Here is a 14,317-nt window from a genome sequence, read left to right on the forward strand (position 1 = left end):
CAAGGCTTCTGAGACCTATAACTGGCATGGTGTCACTTCCACCGCACGTTACTGATGAGAGTGGGACTCAGCCAGGCCAGGTCCAGTGTGGGAGGGAACCAGGTGTGGTTCACTGGGGGCCATCTTTTGAGACAGCTACAGCACAGTTATCCTCATCATGCATGGAGAAAGGCAGAGGCCCGGAGAGGTTAAGTCCCATGCCCAAAGTGTGTCTGACTCCAAAGCCCCTGCTTTGAACCACACTGCCTCTGGGGAAGAGAGTTCAGCCATGGATAGAATTTAGAAACAAAGAATGTGACTTTTTTTATTATTGATCTAATTATGGTTTGTGTGGCTTTCAAAAATGGCCAAATTAGCTGGGCATGGTGGCTCACGCCTGCAATCCCAGCACTTTGGGAGGCTGAGGCTGGTGGATCACTTGATGTCAGGAGTTTGAGATCAGCCTGGCCAACATGGTAAAACCTCCTCTCTACTAAAAATACAAAAATTAGCCAGTCATGGTGGTGGGCACCCATAATCCCAACTACTCAGGAGGCTGAGGCAGGAGAATCACTTGAACCCGGGAGACGGAGGTTGCAGTGAGTGGAGATCACGCCACTGCACTCCAGAGCCTGGGCATCAGAGCGAGACTCTGTCTCAAAAGAAAACCCAAAACGGCAAAATCAATTCCTTAACATGCCTGATAGAATGTGAGGGTGCCAGGACTCCCCAGCCTCTCCAGATGAGAGGACTGCAAATGATGTCTTTCCAGAATCAATCACATCTCAGTAGAGTCATCTTCCTTTCCTCCCCGACAGGACACAGCTATTTCATCATAAGAATGGGGCCCGAAAAAGTGCCAAGAAGATCCTCATTGTCATCACAGATGGGCAGAAGTACAAAGACCCCCTGGAATACAGTGATGTCATCCCCCAGGCAGAGAAGGCTGGCATCATCCGCTACGCTATCGGGGTGCGCCTCTTCTTCACCCCTGCCCCAGGCTCAGCCTGCATCTCCTTCAGGTGCAGTGCTGCTGGGCTCATCCTCCTCGGCTGTCTCTCTGCTGCAGGTGGGACACGCTTTCCAGGGACCCACTGCCAGGCAGGAGCTGAATACCATCAGCTCAGCGCCTCCGCAGGACCACGTGTTCAAGGTGGACAACTTTGCAGCCCTTGGCAGCATCCAGAAGCAGCTGCAGGAGAAGATCTATGCAGTTGAGGGTAAATGGAAGCAAGGGTGCGCCTGGGAGCCAAGGGGTCCCCACCCAATTGTCCCGTGCAGGCTTTTTTTTTTTGAGATGGAGTCTCACTTTGTCCCCAGGCTGGAGTGTAGTGGCACGATCTCGGCTCACTGCAACCTCTGCCTCCTGGGTTCAAGTGATTCTCTCGCCTCAGCCTCCTGAGTACCTGGGATTACAGACACGCACCACCATGCCCAGCTAATTTTTGTATTTTTAGTAGAGGCGGGGTTTTGTCATGTTGGCCAGGCTGATCTCGAACTCCTGACCTCAGGTGATCCGCCAACCTTAGCTTCTCAAAGTGCTGGGATTACAGGCGTGAGCCACTGCGCCCAGCCTGTCCCGCACAGTCTTGATGGGCCATTCCTGTTCACAACTCACTCAAAATTGCTGTCTGGAACCCAAGCCTCAGATCATGTTCTCCTCCCTGTGTTCTGAGTCCTCATGGGTCTCATGGCTTCTAGGAACTTCACTGACCTGTTTCCCCACAGGAACCCAGTCCAGGGCAAGCAGCTCCTTCCAGCACGAGATGTCCCAAGAAGGCTTCAGCACAGCCCTCACAATGGTGGGTAGAGCCTGCCCTCAATCCATAGCTCTTGGATACCAACTCTGCACCCACCCTGGGCTGGGGGCTGGGAGCCAGACATAAACAAGAGCAGACCCCATCCTCAATCGCCAGGGAGAGGCCCCCACGCGTGTGTTAGGGGCCAGGAGCACAGCAGGGAGGAGGGTAGCCTGGGTTCCTGCTCTCAAGGATCATGTATTCTAGTGGAGGAGACAGTAAGCAAGAGCCTCTCAGATAGCACTAAGCATCAGGGTAGAGAGAGAGATAGCCAGAGGAGCCTCAGTAATGGAAAAGGCCAGCCCTGGACAAATCAGGGGAGACTGTTCTGGGCACAGGACAAAGCAAGTGCCAAGGTCCTGAGGCAGGACCCAGGTCCTCGGCGGGAGAGATCCGGGCTTGCCAGAGCCCAGGGAGCCCAGGCAGCCTGGAAGGAGAGGGCTGGAGGCTGAGAAGGACCAGGTGGGATCAAAGATGTGGTTTGGAAGTGCGTGTGTGTTCAAAGGATCCAGATGGGGCCGGTCACTGTGGCTCATGCCTGTAATCCCAGCACTTTGGGAGGCTGAGACGGGCGGATCACTTGAGGTCAGGAGTTTGAGACCAACTGGCCAACATGGCGAAACCCCACCTCTACTAAAAATACAAAAAAATTAGCCAGGTGTGGTGGCTCATGCCTGTAATCCTAGCTACTTGGGAGGCCAAGGCAGGAGAATTGCTTGAACCCAGGAGGCAGAGGTTGCACTGAGCCGAGATTGTGCCACTGCACTTCAGCCTAGGTGACAGAACGAGTCTCTGTCTCAAAACAACAACAACAACAAAAACAAAAACAAAACAAAACAAAGCAAAAAAAAACAAAAACAAACCCAGATGGGTTTACTTCAGAGTAATTTGGGGGTGTCTAGGGGGTGGTGAAATGAAATAAGATTGGTCAAGAATTGATCACTCAAGGTAGGTCACACATACTTGGGGGTTCATTATACATTTATTTCTACTTCTGTATGTGTTCTAAATTATCCATATCAAAAGTTCAAGAAAGCAATAAACAAAGTACACCCAGGAGGAAATGCCTGTGGCTCCCTGAAGGAGCTGAGGAAGACCTCACAGAGGAGGCGACATTGACGTTGACTTTTCCAGCTGGGCATAGTGACTCACACCTGTAATCCCAACATTTTAAGAGGCTGACGTGGGAGGGTCACTTGAGGCCAGGAGTTTGAGATCAGCCTGGGCAACATAGTGAGACCCTGTCTCTACAAAAAATAAAAAAAAATTAGCCAGGCATGGTGGCACATGCCTGTGGTCTCAACTACTCAGGAGGCTGAGATGGGGGGATTGCATGAGTCCAGGAGTTCAAGACTGCAGTGAGCGATGATTGTGCCACTGCATCACAGCCTGTGTGACAGAGCAACAGCCTGTCTCAAAAAAAAAAAAAAAAAAAAGAAAGGATGAAGTTGACTCTTCCAGGGAGGGGAAATGAGCTGAGTCCCAGAAAACAAGAAGGGGAGGGAGGTGTCCTGGCCAAAGGCTTGATGTGCTTTGGAACAGAGGGAGGCTCCATGGCTTTGATGGGGAAGGGTCCTAGGTACCACCGTAAGGGCCTTGGTGATGGTTTTCCAGCAGGGGTGGCTGCACATTTGGGTTTGGGAAAGCCTGGCACTGGGGCAGTAGACAGAGAGGCAGTGGTGAGCACAGCGGGGGCAGACAGGGTGGAGAGTGAGAGGAGAGGGGGCTGGCGGAGCAGTGGCTGTGGGGACAGGCAGAGGCACAGAGGCTGCTGGTGCGGGCCGGGAAGACAGAGAAGAAAAGCCTGGATGGCGAGTGATGCGGGTGGCAGGCGTGTCTCTGGGATATGCTGTCTTCCCGCTCTAGTCTCTGCCCAGCCCTGGAATTCTTTCCTCCCAGGATGGCCTCTTCCTGGGGGCTGTGGGGAGCTTTAGCTGGTCTGGAGGTGCCTTCCTGTATCCCCCAAATATGAGCCCCACCTTCATCAACATGTCTCAGGAGAATGTGGACATGAGGGACTCTTACCTGGGTGAGAAACGGCCAGGGGTTGGGGACAGGTTGGAGATGCACTGCCCAGGGTGGGGTCCAGGGTTCTGGGGAGGGGGGATGGGCGCTGTGCTGCCTGGGGTGGGTTCCAGGGTTCTGGGGAGGGGAGATGGGGGCTGCGCTGCCTGGGGTGGGGGTCCAGGGTTCTGGGGAGGGGGAATGGGGGCCTTTGTGCTGAGGCCTGGGCCCCTCAGGTTACTCCACCGAGCTAGCCCTGTGGAAGGGGGTACAGAACCTGGTCCTGGGGGCCCCCCGCTACCAGCATACCGGGAAGGCTGTCATCTTCACCCAGGTGTCCAGGCAATGGAGGAAGAAGGCCGAAGTCACAGGGACGCAGGTTGGGCGTGACAGGAGCCAGAGGGGAGGATGAGGGTGGGGAGGATGAGGGTGGGGACAGTGGCCGGGGCTAGGGAGAGGATGGAGGGGCTTTGGGGGCCTTGGGAGAGGTCCTGGTACCTGGGGAGAGGCGGGACCCTGGCCCACAGGGCTGCCTCTGGCTGGGACAGGCAGCATGACCCAGGCTCTGCCCTCCAGATCGGCTCCTACTTCGGGGCCTCCCTCTGCTCTGTGGATGTGGACAGCGATGGCAGCACCGACCTGATCCTCATTGGGGCCCCCCATTACTATGAGCAGACCCGAGGGGGCCAGGTGTCCGTGTGTCCCTTGCCTAGGGGGGTGAGTGGCTGATGGGACCTAGGCTGGGTGGGGTCCGGTGTGAGTGGAGGCGTCACCTGGATTGGGGTCTGACACTGCTTGTGTTCAGCAGAGGGTGCAGTGGCAGTGTGACGCTGTTCTCCGTGGTGAGCAGGGCCACCCCTGGGGCCGCTTTGGGGCAGCCCTGACAGTGTTGGGGGATGTGAATGAGGACAAGCTGATAGACGTGGCCATTGGGGCCCCGGGAGAGCAGGAGAACCGGGGTGCTGTCTACCTGTTTCACGGAGCCTCAGAATCCGGCATCAGCCCCTCCCACAGCCAGGTGAGGCCCGTCTTCAGCCTCTTTTAGTCCCAGCTCCTTCCCATGTCCTGAGTTCACTGAACGCAGCCTCCTGTCTCTGTCACCATTCCCTTCCTTGTTGCAGTGGTTTGTCAGCTAAGCACACGTCATCTCTCTTCTCTCCTTTGTTCCAGAAAGCCTTCCATCTGTGTGGGCAGCTTAATGGTTAGGAGAGCAGACTTTGAGGTCAGAGGCCAGTTCAAATCCCTGGCCGGGCCGGCCATCCTGAGCTGTGTGGCCTTAGGCAGGTGACTGACAGCCTTGGTCAGCCTTAGTTTCTTTCTATAAAACGCAGAAATGATAAAACCAACTCCTTAGGCCTCTTGTAGAAATAACAGTGAGAGTGCTAAGGCAATCACCACTGCACTCACTGAAGGTTCATGAGTGACCTGACCAGTGATGAATACACAAATATATTATACGCCTATTGTTACGCTCTTACTTCCTCACCAACCTGCACCCTCATGACGGGTTGGACCCAAAGAGCCCCCTTCTCTGTTTGGGGGTCCCGAGGTCCTCACCCTGTTTGCTTTTTTTTTTTCTTTTTTTTTTGAGACAGAGTCTCACTCTGTCGCCCAGGCTGGAGTGCAGTGGCGTAATCTTGGCTCACTGCAACCTCCCGAGTAGCCTCCCGAGTAGCTGAGATTATAGGCTTCTGCCACCATACCCGGCTAATTTTTGTATTTTTAGTAGAGATGGGGTTTCACCATGTTGGCCAGGCTGGTCTCGAACTCCTGACCTCAGGTGATCTGCTTGTCTCAGCCTCCCAAAGTGCTCGGATTACAAGCGTGAGCCACTCCGCCTGGCTGTATTTGCTTTCAATTTCTATCTCCACATCTCTCCTTTCCAATTTCTGTCTTCTGATCCTCTTTCACCACAATCTGTTTTCCAAATCTCTCCTCTCAAACCTTTCCCATCACCTCCCTTTGACTTCCGCCACTCCCATCTCTCTGGCCAGCGGGTTGCTGGAAAGATGAGCAAACGGAGGGACAGACAGATTGAGTCCTTGCCCACGGCCTCGTGGCTCATACGTGGAGGAGTCAGAATTGGAACTAGAGATTGATTGAATGAATGACACTCGGGTCACCAGGACACCCTTCCAATCTCCACTCCTACATCTATTTCTTAGCAATCATCTCCCGACTCCTACCTCCTCTTTTCAGGCTCTTGTTGGTGACATCTGTTCACAGCTCACCCCTTCTCTCCCTTTGCCACCATCCTACCTCCATATTCCCCTTGTTACTTATTTCCAACTTCTTCCCCCATCTTCCAGCCTGATTCACCCTTTTCTCTTCTGGCCAGCGGATTGCCAGCTCCCAGCTCTCCCCCAGGCTGCAGTATTTTGGGCAGGCGCTGAGTGGGGGTCAGGACCTCACCCAGGATGGACTGATGGACCTGGCCGTGGGGGCCCGGGGCCAGGTGCTCCTGCTCAGGTAGCGACTCCCCAACATCCTGCCCTCCCGCGCTGTGTCTGATTCACCGGTGCTGCCTCCCCAGCCACGTTATCCTCCCAGAAGCCAGTGTTCTGTCCTCCCCACTACTCTGCCCCTCAGGAGTCTGCCGGTGCTGAAAGTGGGGGTGGCCATGAGATTCAGCCCTGTGGAGGTGGCCAAGGCTGTGTACCGGTGCTGGGAAGAGAAGCCCAGTGCCCTGGAAGCTGGGGACGCCACCGTCTGTCTCACCATCCAGAAAAGCTCACTGGACCAGCTAGGTGTGTTTCCCCCATAAAGGGGGCCCAGGCCCCTCATTCCATTAGGGGCCCCAATGCCATCCTGAGGATGGGATGGGCCTAGGAATCCAATCTTACCTCCACATTCACTCACCACCTGTGCCAGAAACCTGGCTCATTCTCTCCCCTCTTCCTCACACCTGGGCCTGTGGATTCTGTCTCCAGGGCTGACCTGAAGTCCACCCAGTTCTCTCCTGGGCCCCAGCCACTGCCTTCCCCCAGCCCCTGATTCCCTTCCACCTACACCAAAGTCATGACATGAAGCAGTTCCCACATCTCTTCTTGCACCCTCCCACCCATTTTCCACAGAGGAACTAGAGTCGACTGGTCCTAAAATGCAAATCTGGGCTCCTCACTCCCCTGCGTAACCCGCCTTGCATTTACAAAGACTCCAGTCCTTCCCTCCAGTGCCCTCTCTGACTTGGCCTCCTGGCCTCTCTGACCTCATAGCATCCCACTCCTCCTTACTAGGCACGCTTTTCGTAAATGCACCAGCTTTGCTCTCCCTTCTGGTCTTAGGCCCTGTTCCCATGGTCCCGGATGTTCTCCCCACTCCTCACCTGGCTCCTGCTCATTCTCCAGGTGGCTGCTTAGCCATGGTCCATCCGGGATGGCAGCCTGGCCAGGTCCAGCAAGCATGCTCTCCTTAGAACCACAGGAGAGCCTCCCCTCGCACTGATCACGCTGCAACATCACGTCCCATGTGCTTGGCTTCTTTCTTAGATTGTGAGGTTCATGAGAGTGGGGGCCATATCTATCTAGCTAGCTAATCTATCATCTATCTGCCAAATCTGTCATCTATCTATTATCTATTAATCTAATCACCTATCTAATCTATCATCTATCTACCAATCTATCACCTATTATCTATCATCTATCACCTATCTAATCTATCCTCTACCAAATCTATCATCTATTATCTATCATCTGTCTATCTAATCTGTCACCTATTTAATCTATCATCTATTTATCTATTATCTAGCCATCCATCCATCCATCCATCCATCCATCCATCCATCCATCATCTATCCGTCCATCTATCTTCTTCACATGTATCCCCAGCACGTGGTACAGTTCATGGCCCATAGCAGTGTCCAGCAAACATGTATTGCATGAACAAATAATGAAAACAGAGCATTCTAGGTTATTTCTGCCTTTTCATTTTGCACTCTCCCCTGCACTTCAGGTGACATCCAAAGCTCTGTCAGGTTTGATCTGGCACTGGACCCAGGTCGTCTGACTTCTCGTGCCATTTTCAATGAAACCAAGAACCCCACTTTGACTCGAAGAAAAACCCTGGGACTGGGGATTCACTGTGAAACCCTGAAGCTGCTTTTGCCAGTGAGGACTTTGGGTTCTGGGAAGGGGGAGAGAGGAGGAGCCCAAGGCTGGCCTGGAGCACCCCCGTTCTCTGCTGAGCGAGGTGGGAAGGGTTAGGATGTTGGGGCTGGAGAGAGGGACATTAGGGCAGGAGAACCTGGCTCCACGGCTTGGAGGGAGCACTGTCAGGGCAGTGGGGAGTGGATGCAGTGGAGGAGGACTTGTGGTGGAGCGTAGAGAGGACAGCAGGTTCTTGAAAGCCTGTTCTCTCTCAGGATTGTGTGGAGGATGTGGTGAGCCCCATCATTCTGCACCTCAACTTCTCACTGGTGAGAGAGCCCATCCCCTCCCCCCAGAACCTGCGTCCTGTGCTGGCCGTGGGCTCACAAGACCTCTTCACTGCTTCTGTGAGTCTTCTGATGAAGTCCCAGGGATGTGCTGACTTCATTTTGTCTCCATGAGCTTAAGAATCCACTGTAGCTCCCCAACACCCAACCACATCCAGTCCAGAAACCTGACTCCAGTCTCTCCCTTCCTCCTCACACCCAGGCCTGTGGGTTCTGTCTCCAGGACTGACATGAAGTCCACCCATTTCTCCTCCTGGTCCCAGCTGCTGCCTTCCCCCAGCCCCTCGATTCTCTCCCACCTACACCAGAGTTGACACGAAATGGTTCCCATATCTATTGTTGTATCCTCCCACCCATTTTCCATAGAGGAGCTAGAGTCGACTGGTCCTAAAATGCAAATCTAGGCTCTTCACTCCCCTGCGTAATCCCCCTTGCATTTACAAAGATCCCAGTCCTTCCCTCTGATGTCCTCTCTGACTTGGCCTCCTGGCCTCTCTGGCTTCACGGCATCCCACTCGCCCTTACTAGGCACGCTTTTCATAAATGCGCCAGCCTCGCTCTCCCTTCTGGTCTTAGGCCCTTCTCCCACCTCCATCCACACACCCAGGAACTGTACACATCCTAGGCAGTTCCCACTTTTCCCTAGCACAGACTCTCTTGTTCATTCCCAGATCCCTCCCAAGTTTCCTCATTCCTACCTCTGTGCCTTTGTCCCTGTTTCGCCCCTCACTTGGAAAACAGTGCCTTCTGCCTTCTCTCCCCGTTTTCCCCCGAAGCTCCAGCCTTACCTCCCTCTCTTCTGAAGGCCACACTCAGCATCTGCCGCTCCTTCTCTGGTCCCTGTTACACCAAGGTGGTGCCACAGCAGATATCACATGGCTGTTATAACCATCTGCATCTACATTTGAGGCTGTCTTGGGACTGTAGTTTCTTTGAGCATAGGAACCATGTCGAATTTGCCTGTCATTTCCACCTTCCCCCAGCCCTCGCCCAACCCAGAACCTGCACAATTATTGGCACTTAATAATGTTTGTGGAATAATTGTTCCAGGATAAGCTGGATGTAACTCAACTGAACTTTATGTCCCTTGAAGCCAAGGATCTTGTCTTATCTTTCTTTTATATGCCAACCTCCAAACCGCACCTGCGCCCCTTGTTGGTGTCCAGCAAAGTGCTGGGGGCAGTGGCTTAGTAATGCTCAATGTTGGAGAGTGCTTCTAAGGAGGGGCTTGGAGAAAGACTAAGATGTCAGATGGGAACAGAATATACTATTTTGCTGCAGCTCCCCTTCGAGAAGAACTGTGGGCAAGATGGCCTCTGTGAAGGGGACCTGGGTGTCACCCTCAGCTTCTCAGGGTGAGCTGTAACTCCCTTCATATCCAGACACTCAGGCTTCTGAGTCCCCCATCCTCCTGGGATGCTTGTGCTGCTCTCTGGCTCTTTCTAACAAAAGTGATGTTCACTGGATTGTTATTGGCCCAGAGCTCCAGAGTTCCTGGGATTCTGCCCTGCCCTTCCCAGTTCCCACCTATTTCCAGTGGAGCGCCACTCCCAGCCTCGTCCTTCCCCTTCAGCCTGCAGACCCTGACCGTGGGGAGCTCCCTGGAGCTCAACGTGATTGTGACTGTGTGGAACGCAGGTGAGGATTCCTACGGAACCGTGGTCAGCCTCTACTATCCAGCAGGGCTGTCGCACCGACGGGTGTCAGGAGCCCAGGTAACAACTGCTGTAGGCTCTAGTGGGAGGGGGCCTCTCCCCTGCCCTGTAGCCCCGGGAGTTACACAGTGTTCTTCAAAATTGTTCTGTGATGATATGTGCTCTCTCTCTCTCTCTCACACACACACACATACACACAGAGAAAGTGCATAAAGCATACATACGGTTTAATGAATAATATTAAACAAACCATAGAGTTAACATCCAGATCAAGAAATAAATCACTGCTAGCATCCCCAGAACCCCCTCCCTGTTTACCTTTCCCCATCACAGCTCCATCCTGTCCCCAAAGGTCATCACTATTCTGACTTTGTGGTCATTTCCTTGTATCTCTCTCTCTCTCTCCTTCCCCCCTCCCTCCCCCCTCCCTCCCTCCCTTACTTCCTCCCTCCCTCCCTCCCTCCCTCTTTTTTTTGAGACTGAGTCTTACTCTGTCACCCAGGCTGGAGTGCAGTGGCACAATCACCACTCACTGCAGCCTAGACCTCTTGGGCTCAAGCAATCCTCCCACGTCAGCCTCCCAAGTAGCTGGGACTACAGGTGCATGCCACTACGCCCAGCTAATATTTATTTATTTATTTATTTATTTATTTATTTATTTATTTATTTTTTAGAGACAGGGTCTCACCATGCTGCCCAGGCTGGTCTCAAACTCCTGGGCTCAAGTAATCCTCCCACCTCAGCCCTTAAAGTGCTGAGATTACAGGTGTGAACCACCACACCTGACCATATTGTTTCTGTGTGTGGGTCTTATTTAAGAAACACTTCCAGGTTATGAAAATAGCCCCCTATATTATATTCCAAAAGCTTCATGGTTTTGCTTTTTCACATTTAAGTATTTAATCCAGTTGGAATTTATTTTAATTTATGGAGTGAGGTAGGGATCCAATTTCTTTTTCTTCTTTCTCCTCCTCTTCCTCTTGTACTTTCTTTACTTTTCTTCTGCTTTTTAAAAAATTTTTTGTATGGGTCAATTTTCCTGGCATTGATGGAAATTGATTGAAAAGTCTGTCCTTGGCCGGGTGCAGTGGCTCACACCTGTAATCCCAGCACTTTGGGAGGCCAAGGCGGGTGGATCACCTGAGGTCAGGAGTTTGAGACTGGCCTGGCCAACATGGTGAAACCCCATTTCTACTGAAAATACAAAAATATTAGCCAGGCATGGTGGCAGGCACCTGTAATCCCAGCTACTCAAGAGCCTGTGGCAGGGGAATTGCTTGAACCCAGGAGGTGGAGGTTGCAGTGAACCACGATCATGCCATTGCACTCCAGCCTGGGTGACAAGAGTGAAATCCGTCTCAAAAAAAAACAACAACAAAAAAAGAAAAGTCTGTCATTTTCCCTAGTGCTCTGCAGTGCCACCACTGCTGTGTATCAAGCCCACACATGCATGCGGGTAACTTCTTAAAATTCATTCTCCTCCCCTAGAAGCAGCCCCATCAGAGTGCCCTGCGCCTGGCATGTGAGACAGTGCCCACTGAGGATGAGGGCCTAAGAAGCAGCCGCTGCAGTGTCAACCACCCCATCTTCCATGAGGGCTCTAACGTCAGTGCTTCTCCCTAAATCCCCATCACTGTCCTCCCTTGTCCCAATCTGTCCCTCACTCTGCCATGCCCTTCCTTTTATCCCCATTCTTTCCTTCTTCTTCCCTCAGGGCACCTTCATAGTCACATTCGATGTCTCCTACAAGGCCACCCTGGGAGACAGGATGCTTATGAGGGCCAGTGCAAGCAGGTGGGTCCAGGCCAGGGTATCCCCCACCCTCCATCGCATGCCCCGGCTAGAGACCCCTCTCCTGGATTCCTTCCCATTGGTCCCTCCTTTCTGTCTCCAGTGAGAACAATAAGGCTTCAAGCAGCAAGGCCACCTTCCAGCTGGAGCTCCCGGTGAAGTATGCAGTCTACACCATGATCAGCAGGTGCCCAGTCCCTGGCCTTCCCCTTGGACCTCTGGCCTTCCTCTATGCCTGGTACTCCTTCTGAGTCCCAGCCTGCTCTTCCAATGATGCACATCTAAGCTCTCCTGTTTTGGGATGCCTTTGTGGGTGAATGGCCATATATAATGACATTTATGCTGCATAAAGATGTTTCTGGGCTGGGCGCGGTACCTCGCGCCTGTAACCCCAGCACTTTGGGAGGCTGAGGCAGGTGGTTCACCTGAGGTCAGGAGTTCGAGACCAGCTTGGCCAACATGGTGAAACCCCATCTCTACTAAAAATACAAAATAAATTAGCTGGGCGTGGTCATGCGTGCCTGTAATCCCAGCTACTTGGGAGGCTGACGCAGGAGAATCACTTGAATCCGGGAGGCGGAGGTTGCAGTGAGCCGAGATCATGCCACTGCACTCCAGCCTGGGTGACAGAGGGAGACTCTGTCTCAAAAAAAAAAAAAAAAAAAATTAGCTGGGCCTGGTGGCGCATGCCTGTAATCCCAGCTACTCAGGAGGCTAAGGCAGGAGAATCTCTTGAACCTGGGAGGCGGAGGTTGCAGTGAGCTGAGATTGTGCCACTGCACTCCAGCCTGGGCAATAGAGCAAGATTCTGTCTCAAACAAAAAAAAAAAAAAAAGGTGTTTTTGTCAACAGTGGACCCACATTTACTACGGGTGGTCTCCTAAAATTATAACGGAGTTGAAAAATCTCCTAATGATGTCATAGCAGTTGTAACATTGTAGTGCAACTCATTGCCTTTTTTATGTCTAGATACACAAATACTTTCCATTGTGTTACAATTGCCTACAATATCCAGTACAGTAACACGCTGCATGGGTTTGTAGCCCAGGAGCAATAGGCTATACCATATCACCTAGCTGTGCAGTAGGCTCTACCATCTAGGTTTGCATAAGTGCAACCTATGATGTTTGCACAATGATGAAATTGCCTAAGGCCGGGCGCAGTGGCTCACACCTGTAATCCCAGCACTTTGGGAGGCTGAGGCAGGCGGATCACCTGAGGTCAGGAGTTCAAGACCAGCCTGGCCAACATGGCGAAACCTTGTCTTTACTAAAAACGCAAACATTAGCCAGGCGCAGTGGCACACGCCTGTAATCCCAGCTACTGGGGAGGTTAAGGCAAGAGAATCGCTTGAACTTGGGAGGCGGAGATTGCGGTGAGCTGAGATCGCGCTGCTGCATGCCAGCTCAGGGGTGACAGATTAAGGCTCTGTCTCAAAAAAAAAAAAAAAAAAAGAAAAAAAAAGAAAAGAAAAAGAAATTGCCTAACGATTAATTTCTTGGAATGTATCCTTGGTGTATTTGTACCCTAATAATATATACCATAGCTCTTGCTGCTTCTCTCAAATCGACTTGCTGGTGGGACACACACACATTGCCACCACTGTGCCTTTCCCCCTCTCCCTCTAAAAGGAAGGCTTCCTTTTTTAACATGAAACAAATTCTGTCCTTTGTATTAAATGTGAATGTGCTGAAGCAAAGCTGCTACATGGAGATCAAGGCTTTTCTGAGCACCCTGAATTGGGGAGCTTGTGCCCAACAGGATATGGTCTGTCACCACACAGAGGAAAGGAAAGGTCAGGTTTCTATAAAACTCAGAGTGGGGCAGAGGTGTGAGAAACTGTTGGGAAGGTCTCTTAAGAGCCTGGCCAAGGCAGCGCAGGAAAGGCAAGTGTAGGGCTGAAGGCAAGAGGGTTCTGCAGGTGGTGGAGGCACAGGGGCAGGCGAGGCTGGATGCAGAGCAAGGCATCCCATACACTGGGCTGAAAGACTGTAACACTGCTGTGGGACAAAGTTTGCTGCTATTGCTTTTTTTTTTTTAGACGGAATCTCACTCTTTCACCCAGGCTGGAGTTCAGTGGTGCAATCTGGGCTCACTGCAACCTCCACCTCCCAGGTTCAAGTGATTCTCCTGCCTCAGCCTCCCGAGTAGTTGGATTACAGGCATGCACAACCACATCTAGCTAATTTTTTGTTTGTTTGTTTGTTTGTTTTTGAGATGGAGTTTCACTCTTGTTGCCCAGGCTGGAGTGCAATGTTGCGATCTCAGCTCACTGAAATCTCCGCCTCCCAGGTTCAAGTGATTCTCCTGCCTCAGCCTCTCGAGTAGCTGGGACTACAGGCATGTGCCACCATGCCTGGCTAGTTTTGTATTTTTAGTAGAGACAGGGTTTCACCATGTTGGTTAGGCTGGTCTTGAACTCGTGACCTCAGGTGATCCACCCCCACCCGAGGGCCTCCCAAAGTGCTGGGATTACAGGCATGAGCCACCACACCTGTCCACTGTTGCTTCTGATGTATTAAGTTGTTAGGGGAAGGAGCGAGGGAGATCAAGCAGTGTCATTGTCCTTTCAAGCCACATGTAGGTTTCCCTTTCTATCCACAGGAAAATACTTACAATAAGAGCTTACAGTTATATATACCCATGTCAGGCACGTT

At 52.2% G+C, this 14,317-nt stretch overlaps 1 protein-coding gene across 18 annotated transcripts in view; it reads left to right on the top strand.

The window, feature by feature from the left end:
* The window catches only part of ITGAD (integrin subunit alpha D), a 33,171-nt gene that overhangs the window by 13,383 nt on the left and 5,471 nt on the right, over nucleotides 1-14,317 (top strand). For 4 of the 18 annotated variants that reach the window (XR_950791.3, XM_011545835.4, XM_017023215.3 and 1 more), the window contains exons 8-23: nucleotides 798-951; nucleotides 1,049-1,199; nucleotides 1,708-1,781; nucleotides 3,645-3,807; nucleotides 4,019-4,161; nucleotides 4,359-4,499; nucleotides 4,588-4,800; nucleotides 6,121-6,251; nucleotides 6,372-6,529; nucleotides 7,734-7,888; nucleotides 8,143-8,274; nucleotides 9,496-9,569; nucleotides 9,788-9,929; nucleotides 11,358-11,474; nucleotides 11,584-11,663; nucleotides 11,764-11,898. Coding sequence is in view for 17 of the 18 variants with exons in the window: in XM_011545835.4 (XP_011544137.1) it covers nucleotides 798-951; nucleotides 1,049-1,199; nucleotides 1,708-1,781; nucleotides 3,645-3,807; nucleotides 4,019-4,161; nucleotides 4,359-4,499; nucleotides 4,588-4,800; nucleotides 6,121-6,251; nucleotides 6,372-6,529; nucleotides 7,734-7,888; nucleotides 8,143-8,274; nucleotides 9,496-9,569; nucleotides 9,788-9,929; nucleotides 11,358-11,474; nucleotides 11,584-11,663; nucleotides 11,764-11,898 (2,163 nt within the window). In the remaining variant the exon portion in view is untranslated. Of the gene's footprint in view, nucleotides 1-797; nucleotides 952-1,048; nucleotides 1,200-1,707; nucleotides 1,782-3,644; nucleotides 3,808-4,018; nucleotides 4,162-4,358; nucleotides 4,500-4,587; nucleotides 4,801-6,120; nucleotides 6,252-6,371; nucleotides 6,530-7,733; nucleotides 7,971-8,142; nucleotides 8,275-9,380; nucleotides 9,467-9,495; nucleotides 9,570-9,787; nucleotides 9,930-11,357; nucleotides 11,475-11,583; nucleotides 11,664-11,763; nucleotides 11,899-14,317 lie in introns of those variants that run through there. The other 14 variants (NM_005353.3, XM_047434071.1, XM_011545839.3 and 11 more) reach the window with 13 other exon arrangements.

Source organism: Homo sapiens, chromosome 16 (genome assembly GCF_000001405.40).
Source record: "Homo sapiens chromosome 16, GRCh38.p14 Primary Assembly".
Classification (NCBI taxonomy): domain Eukaryota; kingdom Metazoa; phylum Chordata; class Mammalia; order Primates; family Hominidae; genus Homo; species Homo sapiens.